This window comes from Homo sapiens, chromosome 9 (genome assembly GCF_000001405.40).
Source record: "Homo sapiens chromosome 9, GRCh38.p14 Primary Assembly".
NCBI lineage: Eukaryota > Metazoa > Chordata > Mammalia > Primates > Hominidae > Homo > Homo sapiens.
The window spans coordinates 93,993,874-94,006,634 of NC_000009.12; the positions used below are offsets into that span (position 1 = coordinate 93,993,874).

At 42.7% G+C, this 12,761-nt stretch overlaps 1 annotated feature.

Annotated features, from left to right (window-relative positions):
• Positions 11,074 to 12,273: an enhancer, noted in NCBI's record as "CDK7 strongly-dependent group 2 enhancer chr9:96767229-96768428 (GRCh37/hg19 assembly coordinates)". NCBI's record gives its function as "activates an origin of replication core promoter dependent on BRD2, BRD4, P300/CBP, MED14 and CDK7 cofactors, with strong dependence on CDK7, by STARR-seq in HCT116 cells {active_cell/tissue: HCT116}" and the evidence as "EXISTENCE:reporter gene assay evidence [ECO:0000049][PMID:35650434]".

Sequence of the window (12,761 nt, forward strand, 5' to 3'; positions counted from 1 at the left end):
CGTTTCAAAGATGAAGGGGAGAGGCTGGGATTTATGCCTGATAGGGTTGGTGATATATACATATTTCGCAGGTTATAGGAGAATCTATGAATATTTATGAGAGGAGCTAAACGCATGCTCAGTGAGTAAACATATATGTTAAATACATTCCATGTTCACTTTGGGGTAGAGATTTAACATTAAAATGAAGTAAAATTTGGCTTTTTATGTCAAGAGGTGAAAGACAGGACACAAAGGCATCCCATGCACAGCCTCTGTGGACTGGTCAGAACCAGGCTCTGGTTGGTGGTCATCTACCAGGAAGGAATGTTTTGTAAGGCTGGTCAGTTGTAAAGGCAAGACCATAATAAGAGAGGGGAGGTCAGCTACGATGTCAAGCGGTCTGTCAAGGTTGGTGGGGAAATCTTCCAAACATTGTTTCTCAGGAACTGGTTTCTGTTTAATTACAGGAAAGAAAATCTTGCGGCAGTTGGCAAGGTAGGGGAGTGTTGAGGGGTCACTGACCTCCTGCCTGGCCAAAGCTGTAGAATCTGGTTTTAACATTTTCTGGGTCTCTTTTTGCCACAGGGAGTCCATTTCAAGGGCTTGACCCAATATATAAAGAACTCTTACAAGTCATTAATAAGTTTAACAATGCAATTTAAAAAGATTGAAACAGATACTTGACAGAAGAGAATATATACATGTACAATATGTACATAAAAAGACACTCAATACCAGCGAAATTCAACTTGAAACTACAATGAAATGCCATTACACACCAGAGTGTCCAAAACTTAAAATACTGGCAATGTGAAGTGTTGGAGAGGATGCAGAGTAACAAGAGTGCTCATACACTGCTGGTAGGAATGCAAAACAGGACAGCCACTTTGGAAAACAATTTGGCTGCTTCTTAGAAAGATAAACATACATTAACATATGACCCATCAATTCCACTTCTAGATAATTACCCAAGAGAAATAAAAACATATGTCCACACAAAGACTTTTACATGAATGTTCATAGCAGTGTTCTTCATAGTAGCCCTGTATCAGTTATGTGCAATCAAGAGACAGAAACCACACAGTAATTTTTATACAGAAGTTGAACATAAAGAATTACTAAACCATGATAAGAGAGTAACTTATCATATAGTTATATGATCCTAGAACTGAAGGAGAATGCTCGAAAAAGGATTAAACTTGGAAGGGGGGATTCTTCCTAAGCCTAGGATTTGGATCTTTGTTGGAGAAGGGGTGATCACAGCCTGCTGGATGGGGAGGAATTTTGATTGGTTGCCTTGGCCGGAGCTGGTCCATAGTTCCTGGGCAGCTGACAACAACCCTCTGGGGCACAGGCAAGCTGATGCTGGTGGGCAGATGTGCAGAGGGATCAGGGCATCACTGTGGGCACAACGCCTAGAACATGCCAGTGTCCATGTCAGGAAGTGCAAGCAGAGGTTTTCACTGGGCCTAGCCAGGGCTGTTTGCTAAGGGAATGAATACTCTGAGTCGATGGCTGGGACAAACACCAGTGGATCTCCCTGCCCACCCCCACACACACTGCTGAGACCATATTTCAAGAACAAGAAAGAGCAAAACATAGCACACCACCATCAGAAAGAGAAGCCCCCTTCCTCCTGCAGTGTCCTTCCAGCATCCTCTGCTCACGAAGTTTAATTAACACCATGTTCACCATGAAAGATAAATGCTTATAGAATCTAGGCCATTATTGCACAGCAGATATCAGAGGGTGAATCTGAACTGAGAGGTAATAAATTAGTCATTGCCACCATCCACTTCTATGGCTACTTATTTTTCATATGTACTCTTTATATACATTTGAACTCCTGTACAACAACAAAAGAACTTCACACTTCTTAACAAAATACAACCATCCTTCTTACAAGTGAAGTTCTCATCCTTACCCCAAATGAGAAGACTCATTCTCAAAAGTCATTGTATCCACTGCCAGTTATATTAATTACTCCTCAATTTCATTTAAGTTCCACTGAATATTCTACTACCTAAAGACTAAAATGCAAAGTTAACTTCCAGCAACTTAAATATTTAAAAAATAGAAGGAGGAGAGTGAAAAAATGGTTAGTATGTATAAATAAACACATGCATTTAATAAGCAGAGAGAAAATATCCAAAGCTACCACATTTCCATTTCTATAATTGGTCATGAGGTTGTAGCTGATATCTATGGCTTCCTTCTTCAATTACCCATTGCATATTTTCCTTTTCCTCGCAAGAAGTGCAACATCTCTGCAATATTTACCTTGTGCAGTGACCCAGGCCTTTATTCCCAAAGGGCCTGTGTCTTCAATTGTCCTGCCCCTTCTTTTAGTTGCTGTGGTTTTCCATGAACTTCATGACTGGGCATGGATGTATGGAGAGGAGCCCCCGGAAAATCTCCTGGGTTCCAGACCTGGTTCTCCTTGTCTTTATTGTGCAGGAGTAACCCCATTTCCCCTTCATAACCACCACTTTGTAAAATGATCAGAATCAATCACTCTTGTGAGTAGATTCACCCCTTTCTGCCTATTGATTCAGTGGCATAAACAGATCAAAATGGCACAGCGGCGGTCTCATCTTCCAGTTTAATGGAATCATTATTGTGGCCCCTAATGGAAGCATTCCCTTCTTGTGGACTAAGAGCTCCAACACAGCAAAGTTTAAAATTAGACAGTAAGCAAACAATCTGTGAATGATTGTTTTATTTGGCCTGATAGTGGAAGGAGCCACTCCCGTTTCCACCTCTTGATACCCAGATCCATGTGTTCTGGCCATGGAGGTGACAGGACCATATAACAGTGTCTGATTTACTGCATCCTGCAAAACAGTACCCCTTCCTTTTGGGGTGCTGTTTCCAAACTGGCATTATAAGTGAGTCTTCAACAAGCCATCCCACATTTCAATTAGAAGAACTGCTTCTGGGTGATGGAGTATTGGCAGGACCAGTTAATTTCATGGGTATGCGCTCACTGCCACATTTTCTTTGCTATGAAATTAGTTCACTGATCAGACACAATGTTGTGAGGGAGGTCTTGATAGGGAATAAAGTATTCTGTGAGTTTATGGATGGTGGCACTGACATTATGGATGAGGAAAGAAAATCTATTCCAGAATATGTGTCTATTCCAGTGAGACCAAATTCTGGCCCTTCATATAAGAGAGGCTTAATGTAATTAACCTACCACCAGGTGGCTATGGAGCCTTATCAGGGCTCAATGTTGTTCCTTCTGTTGGCAGATTAAGCACTCAACAGTAGTAGTATCAGCCAGGTCAGTCTTGGTAGGGAAAGTTTGTGTTGTTGAGTCCATACATTATCTCCACTTGGCCACCATGACAACTTGTTTATGGGCCATTGAGCAAGCACTGAGGTGGTTTGGGAAAGAGGCTGACTGACATCTACAGAACAAGTTATTTTTTCACTTGGTTAGAAGCCTCCTCTGCAGTGAATGTCCCTTTGGTGGTCATTCACATGGCACACAAATATATCTTCACATTCTGTGCCTGATCAAAGAGGTCTGTCCACATACCTTTTCCCTCGATTTCTTTATTGCCAATCCTCCAGTCCTGTTCCTTGCAAGTGCCTGACCACTCAAGCAAACCATTACTTACCATGAATCAGTTTAGATTTGTACTTCCAGCCATCTCTTTCCCCCTCTCATAACCAAAATCACTGCTCAAAGTTCTGCCTACTGGGACAATTTCCCATCACAATGTTGTGTTAGTATGTTCTTGAATCGCTATGAAGGACTACTTGAGGCTGGGTAATTTACAAATTAAAGAAGTTTAACCATTTCACAGTTCTGCGGGCTGTACAGGAAGCATGGTGCTGGCATCTGCTCTGGTGAGGGCCTCAGGGAGCTTATAATCATGGCGGAAGGTGATGGGAAGCCAGCATGTCATATGGTGAGAGTGGAAGCAAGAGAGAGAAGGGGGAGGTCCTAGACTGTTTTAAACAACCAGACCTAGTGTGAACTAACTGAGCAAGAACTCACTTATCACCAAGGGAATGGGGCTAAACCATTCATGAGGAATCCACCCCAATAATCTAATTATCACCCATCTCCGACACTGGGATTCACATTTTGACATGAGATTTGGAGGGGACAAACATTCAAAGCCTATCAGCTGTCCTTCATGATCACTCTTTAGTGGGGTGCAAAAATTAATCTGTAGGTAGTAAACCAGGCTCGAATTCTTCTTTCTTGGTTAACTGGTTGTGAGAAACATTATGGGAGGCTGAAGACATGTGTTAAGGGACAGAAGACAATGCAATAGAAGAAAATGCATTTTGAGTCCCTAGAAGTTGAGATTGAAGGAGTCTGAGCCATCTGTTCATGCCACTTACTTGTACTTTCCAGAACTACCTGAGTTGGGTTTCTTATATGCCATTTCCATTCAATAATAGAATGCTGCCCTGTACACTAAGTCTTATGACTAGGTAGATCAGACAACATCAAATTCATGATGGAAAGTTCAGGTTACATGGTTACCTTATGTTCCATGGTTAAGTATTCAGTCTCTACGGAGGCCCAGTAGCAAATCAGAAGCACTTTCTCAAAAATGGAATAATAGATTTACTCCAGAATCCTTCAGGTCTTCACTGACTCCAGAATCCTAGAGGTCTTCACTGTCTACTGTACTGTTCTACTGGTGCTTGCCAGAGGCTCCACAAAGCAATTCTATTTGGCACTGATACTTCAACTATCACAGGCTCTGCTGGATCACAGGACCAAGTGGTACAGCAGCTTGCCCTGCAGCCTGAACTTGCTGCAGAGCCTTCTCTTGTTCTGGGCCCCACTTGAAACTGAAAGATTTTCATGTGATTGTGTAGACAGGTCAAAATAGCACACTTAAATGTGATATTTATCACCTCCCCAAATCCCCAAAGACCTAACAAATGCAGTGCCTATATTAGTCAAAGTTCTCCAGAGAAATAGAACCAATAAAATAGATATGATAGATATATAGATAGACAGACAGATTTATTATAAGGAATTGGCTCACACTATTATAGAAGCTGAGCGGTCACATGATTTTCCCTCTGCAAGATGGAGACCCAGGAGAGCTGGTGGTGGAGTTCCAGTTGAAGTCTGAAGGCCTGAGAACCAGGAGAGTTGATGGTGTATGTTCTAGTTCAAGTCTGTCTGAAGGCAGGAGACCAATGTTCCAACTCAAAGACAGCCAGAGAGAACAAATTATTTTCTTACCCAGGTTTTTGTTCTATTCAGGCCTCAAATGGATTGGATGTGGCCCACCCACATTGGGAGGGCTATCTGCTTTACTGAGTCTAACAATTCAAAGGTGAATCTCATCCAGAAACACTGTCATAGACACACTCAGAATAATGTTTAACTAAATATCTGGGTACCCCAGTCAAGTTTACGTAAAACTATCATGGTGCCTTATCTCTGTGTGTGTCTGCTAGCTGGTTCAAGGTGCAGCAATTTGTCACATACCAGAGAGAGGATATCCCAGCATGCTTCTGACTATTGAATCCCCAGAAATTTATCTGAGGTGACAGGCCCCTCTCACCACCTGAATTTTTGTGGGGTATATCTACCACCCTCTGGTTTACATACATCTTACTAAGGCATCTAAAGTACTGCTACTTCTTACTGATTAGATCCATCAGCATAATTTTATCAGTAGAGTGAGCCAGTGTGATATTTCATGGAATGTCAAGACAATCAAGATCACTTAGACTGTATTATGGCAGACAGCAGCAGAACTAATGTAGCCTGTGGCAACACCGTAAAGGCATACCATTGGCCCTGTTGGGTAACAGCAAACCACTTCTGGTGGTCCTCACAAACTGGTATGGAGGAAAAGACATTAGCCAGGTCAATAGCTGCATACCAACTGTCAGAGGCTGTGTTGACCTGCCCCAATAAAGGCGTTACATCTGAGACAGCAGCTGAAATTGGAATTCCCATCGGTTACATTTATGACAATCCGTGACCACTCTTCAAGGTTCATCTGGCTTCTGCACAGGCTAAACTGGTAAGTTAAATGGGAGATATTATAGCTATCACCACCTCTGCTTGTTTCAAGGTTTTGATAGTGGCATTTACTTCTGCAGCTCTCCTAGGAATGCAGCACTGCTTCTGGTTTACTATCCTGGTAGGGAAGTTCCAGGTGCTACCACTTAGCCTTTCCTACCATAGTGATCTTCACTGCATGGGTCAGAGAACCAATGTGGGAATGTGCCAGTTGCCATGTGTGTCTGTTCCATGTATGTCTGCTCTGTAGTGTGTACCTACTCCCTTTGATCTTGCTGAGATCTGTCCTGACGTATAGATCTCTCTACATTTAGGAGCTGGGAAACAACTGCAGGGTGGGTCTGTGGACTAATTTGGTCCACTGTTAGTGAGACGTAGGACTCCATCTATCATCTAACCACCATAAGCCTCTACTTTGACTTGCTGACCATAATAACATTTTGAAGCCCTAGGAATTAGCACCAATTCAGAGTCAGTTTCCAGCTTTCCCTAAAAGGTCTGGGCATTTCTTGTTCTCCAATGCACAGTCACTTTAGTAAATGGCCCATAGGCCTCTTTAGGGAAGGCTTGGAGGAAAAGGCATGGTATGAACCTGGAGCAACAGTGCAGGGCTGTCTTTTCTCAAAGGAATCAAGTCTCCCCTTCAATAAAGGGCTTCAAGGTCTGTGAACTGACTTAGGAAACTAAGTTTGGAAACAAGTTTGAAAACTAGGTAAGAGGCCATGACTCTCCACTATGGCCCCTCAAGTCAGGTTTTTGGCTAAAGATCTAGAGTTTTTCCTTTCCTATGTATCAGGCCACACTCTAGTTGGTGACCCATCTATTTTATTCCTAGGCATACCAAGATCAATGAGCCACCACCAACGGGTTCTGCAGGCCAAAGCATTCTGATTATTAGTACATTTCTGCTGCCTTTTTTGATAAATATCCCCATCTTGTTTTTGATGGCTAAGTGCTGTCACATGTCCTCCTCTACTCCAGAATCTCATCATTCCAATTGAAATCAGGGAGCCCATCTCAATAAGAATTTGCCACAGTCATACCTGGCCTACCACAGTGCACTTTTCCCAACCCAGGTACTCCTCACTCTCATGTATTTCCCAATGTCTTAGTGAGGGGGATGTCTTCTGGGCCCTCCTGTGGAACACAGTTCAGGAGAAGGTATGCAGGTCACACACCATAAGACCAGTCCAACATTTTCATCTCCCTAAGCCTTTGGATTCCCTCCTTCACATCATGCCAGGGAAGCACTAGCATCTCAGTCTCACCTAATGTAAGCCAGTGTTAAGCCCACATTTCAGTCACTCAACCAGGCAAGCTGTTAGAGCCACCTCCAGTAAGACAATAAATTCAAACTCTCTAGTAAGTATACCGTTGTCAATGAACTCAGGTTATCTGGTGTTATATGCTGTCTTCCATAGTCTAACACCCTTAGAAACAATTTCCACAGATGTTCCCCAAGTTTCTACTGATATATATCAGTGAAGTCTAGAAAGTATTTTAGTGTTTGGGCTCTGTCCTCCTGGGTCATAGTGTGTACCTATTCCCATAGACCATGCTGAGATCTGACCTGATTTATAGATCTAGTGGCAACAGGGAATGGCTGTGGTGAGTCTTGAGAAGGATGAGTATCCCTTTTTGAGGCAACTGTCCCAGGTTGAGGGAGGCTCAAAATGAGTTGTGGGTTCAATATTATTGGTTTCATCTGGGTCCAATCAGATTTCTCTAATCTACCTTTCAAGATCCCATTCTTTCCTGATCAATACCTTAACTTTCAATTGAGAAACATGGCAAGACTGTAAATTTACTGTCATTGTAATTCAGAAACTTGCATAACTAAATTGTGTGTTTGGTTTTCAGCAGTGCTGTAGCTATAAGAAATAAGAGACTTTTAGGGGCTGTCATGGAAGCTCTCTGGTTGTCAGAGATGGCTTGAATTGAAAGTTAACAGGCCTGAGCTTCTCATTTTCTCTCTGCAAGAGCTCAGTGTACCCAAAAGAATTCGTCCTACACCACAGCCCTTACAGTTATCATTACTGTCATAATGGTCAGACACAGCAGCCACTTGGCTCACAATCAACCACGGGGATGCTGCTGGGTTACTAGCCTCCCATTTCCCAGTAGCAAGGAGCTCAGCACTGCATATGAGCGCGAGGGCAGGACCCAACCCATCCTCAGACTCCATGTTCACAGGTCTATTTCCTGAGACCAGTCTCAGAACCAATTCTATATCAGTTTGGACCAAGCAAACTTTAATAGGCAAACCAGCAGTTGGCCATGACTCAGGAGAGGAGTCACTGTACAGTAAGCAAGGGAAGTAGAGTATAAAGAATTATTAAACTGTGATTCGGTGAGTACTGTAAAGATGTAAAGAAAGCTCTAACCAGTAGCTTAGGGCTGGATAGACGAACTGTGGTACAGGAAAAAAAAATGATATATATGATCTTGCATATGGTATGTACAAGAAAGAACAGGGCCCCTTTTCCCCAAGAATGGGATTTGGACATTGTTGTTGGAGGTGTGGTTGCAGCTTATTTACTTGATGGCACAGGATTTTGCTGGGTTGCGTGGCCAGCACTGGTTGACTGTCCCAGGGCAGCACAAAATAGCCCTCTGAGCTTGCCTGCTCACTGACAGGACAACACACAGCCTCTGGTGCACGGTGTCCATGTTGGGAGGACTGAAGCAAAGTGGCCTCTAGGCTTGACCCAAGGCAGCACGGTTGGCAAGGGACGACAGACTCTGGGTGCATGGCTGGGGTGCAGTGCCACTGGGTGTAACTAGAGGAAGTGCAAAAGCAAGAAAAGGCAGAACGCAGCACAGGAGTACCAAGAAGAGCCCCCTTCTTATTGCAATGTTTCTCTAGCGCCCTCTGCTGACAATGCTTAACATTTTGCTCACTGTAAAAGGGAAATCCAGGCCACTAATATGGAAAAGGTACTCTTAGAGCAAATCCACAGCTATGAGGCAATAAATTGATAACTGGCACATGCCCCAAAGTAGAAACCACACAAATGTCCACCAGCAGGTGGTACATCTTTACAATGGTATACTACTCAGAAATAAAAAGGAATGAACTACTATGTGCATAACAACACAGATGCATCTCAAAAACATTTTGCTGATATGAGAAGCCAGGCCCCAGATAGTACATCCTGTGTCATTCTATTTACATGAAAAACTTTAACAAGCAAACCAGCAGTTGTCTGTTACTCAGGTGAGGCATCACTGCCAAAGGGCATGAGAGACTCTGGAGTGATGGAAGTGTTCTATATTTGATTTTACAGTGGTGGTTACTTGAGTTATGTTCATTTTTCAAATCTTATAGAGCTCTATACTAAATGAGTGCATATTATTTATATAAGTTATGCTTTAATAAAGGTAATGTTTGAATGTTAATGGAAAACTATGGCCTTTCAATAAAAGCAGGATCATTGAGAATTCAAACCCTTCAACGTTGCAGGTTTGGGTCACCACTGGGTTAAGTAGGATCTCAACCAGCTGAAGTACTAGCCAATAGCAAAGAGAATGTAGGAGGGGGTAGTGAAGGAAGAAAATCACAAATATTCACCATAGCTTCAAGACTAGTTGCATAAATGAAAACTGTAAAATATAGCATCATTTTATGGTGTGTGTAAAGCAAGCATTTTCCTTCCTTCTTTCTTATTATTTATTAAGTAGTTTTGGTAGTAATCTTCATTACTTTTGGGGCCATAGAATGTTCAGGTGGGATTTTAAGTGAATCAGAAAAGGAATTAATACCCAAACATCGTTATGGTGACTTATATGACTCTGTGTTTCCCCTTTGGGGGATGAGAATAAGAGCAACTCCCCCACCAAGAATGGTTGCATCATACTGGAAGAAGCATGATGTTCTGTTATTTTTGTTGTATACAATTTTGTATATAGGTAGTGAGGTGTGTAGCAATGCTGAGTTGCTAAAGGAGTAGACCACATGAGCTATTTTTGTTGTAACCTAGCCCCATATCCATTTTTTTCCTTGTCCTCTACTACTGGAACTGGGAATCCAAAATCTATATTGCCTAGATTGACAGATGGAGTCATCAGGTTCTAACAATAAAAGGCATCAGCAGAAGATCAGAACTGAAGAAGACATACACTTCCTGCTTGTGGCTCAAATACCAAGTAGTTGCTGGGTAGCTGTGGGAGGGGGCCTGCTGAACTCCCATGGCCCATCCCAGCACCTGCAGCATAGGAGTGGGGAGCAGCTTCTGGATTCCTGGATATCACACCTTCCTTTTGGCTCTTCCAGCACATTCAACTCATTTGTAACCAATACCCCATATAAATTCCTCTCTGTTTAAATACCTAGTGTGGTTTCTGTAATAATAATAAACTACGGTATCAAAAATTGTGGTTTGGTAAAGATGGCAGATGGAAAATATATGTTCAACTTCCTTACCTCCCAGAACCCAACTAAAATAAAGGTGTAGATATTTACAAAACTAATCAACCCAGATAGCAAAAGGAACAAGAGGGGAAAATATCAACAGGTGAGAGTTCAATCCATTTACTGCAAATTAAATGTGGATAGAAATCTGTCAATGTTTGAAATGAGAGAGAGCTACAGTCCAGACACAGTGGTTATAAGTAGGTGGTTGTCTTAGTCGGCTCGGGCTGACATAATACAATACCATAGACTGAGTAGCTCCAACAACAGAAGTTAATTCCTCACAGTTCAGGAGGCTGGAAGTCTAAGATCAAGGTGCCAGCCCATTCACTTTCTGGAGAGGGCTCTCTTCCTGGTTTATAGACAGCTGCCTTCTTGCTGTGTCGTCACAAGGTGGAGAGACAGTAATTTTTCTAGTGCTTCCTCTTATAAGGACACTAATCATGTTGGATCAGGGTCCCACCCTTATGATATCACTTACTTCCTTACTCCAAATACAGTCACATTTGGAGTTAGGGCTTCAGCATATGAATGTGGAGTTGGGGGAGACACTATTCAACTATTCAGCCCATAGCAGTGGATCACATACAATGTAACCCGTAATTCCTGCTTCTTGAAGCTCTTAGATTCCTTCTAATGTAGATTATGCCAGGGAGGTCTTGGCATCTCAATTTTATTGACTGTAGTTCACTATTGGACCCAGGTTTTAGCTGGCCAGGCAAGTAAATGTTAGAGCCACCCCCCATTGCTGCAGCTAAGCATTTAATTCAGAATCTCAAGTACTGGCATAATACTGGTAAAATTTTCCCAATTCAACATTATATTCCATCCTCATTGAACTACCATATTTAGAATCTTTTCCCACATGTATGATTCTGTTGTTGCTGATGTTAATTGGCCAAACTCTTCTGTTCTTTTTATGGATCAGCTATGTCTATCTGGGTCAGACTGAGCACTTATCCACACTGGGTTCTGACTCTAGTTATGAATCCAGAAGCAAAGAGGGTGGTGGGGCAGGTATTGAGGATAAGACACATTACCCTCAGGTGGGGTTAGTACAAGGCCTTCAGGCAAAGGAAGGATAATCTCCTCTGGCCAGGTCAGGTCAAGTAAGTGTAAAGTACTTGGCAAAATGCCAGACAAATAGTAAACATTATGTAAGTTTTTATACTCTTTACAGTTGTTACTATCAGCTGAGTCAGCCCTGGTGAGCAAGGACTTGGAAATTTCCCAGTCTGTCCACCCACCCAGCCTAGCATGGGCACAGATGAAGGGAGGAGCTGTGAGGTCCTCAAGGACGAGGAAGGAGCCCTGAGAAGGAGTCAGATGCAGCAACAAAGTCCAAGCCTGCTATGCATCAGAATCACCTTGGGAGATTAAAGTAGATTCGGACTTCTACCTCAGCCCTCTATATCAGAATCAACAGGTGAGTGGGTGTTTTTAGAAACTCCTCACATGAGTCTGATAGAGTAGGTACCTAGATGGAGGAAGAAGGCCCTTAGCCTGAGGCTTGGATGCAGGTCACTTGTCCTCACAGAGAGCATTTGGCATGGCTGTGGGACCAGGAGCCAGCATGACCGGGCAGTGTGCTGAAATGCAAGAGGTAGAAGGTTTTAATTTGTATTTTAGTTCTAAAATTTCTACTTGGTTCTTCTTTAAAAGTTAGAGTCTAAATATTTTCTGTCTTTCTAGGCTTCCCCTTTCCTGTTCCTTTGGCTAGAGAGAAGAGGCTTTTTGGGGACCTCTTTTTGTCTATACCCATTAGTGTTTGTAGGCTGCCAGCCTGTTCAGCTCCAAGTCTGGGATATAGGAGGCAAAAAGAAAACCCAGGGAACCCATCTGTATGTTGTTCCTCAGGTCTCAAGGTCCCTAGCCAGTCTCCCTTTTTCTCCACGTTTCAGATTATTCTTTTGTTATGTATCTCCAGGGATTTTAGTTTTACTTGGTGGAGGAATAGGAAGAAGTGAGTCTATTGTATCTTGTCCAGAACCAGAAGTCCTTTTTGTGCAAAAGTGCTCATACCTGTAATCCCAGCACTTTCGGAGGCCAAGGCAGGCAGATCACTTGAGGTCAGGAGTTTGAGACCAGCCTGGCCAACATGGTGAAACCCCGTCTCTACTAAAAATACAAAAATTATCAGGGCGTGATGGCAGGTGCCTGTAATCCCAGCTACTCGGAAGGCTGAGGCAGGAGAATCGCTTGAACCCAGGAGACCCAGGTTGCAGTGGGCCGAGATCATACCACTGCACTCTAGCCTGGGCAACAGAGCAAGACTCAGTCTCAAAAAAAAAAAAAATTAGAACAGCACCTGACACATTAAGGAATAAATAATTAGTTATCTGAATGCAATAA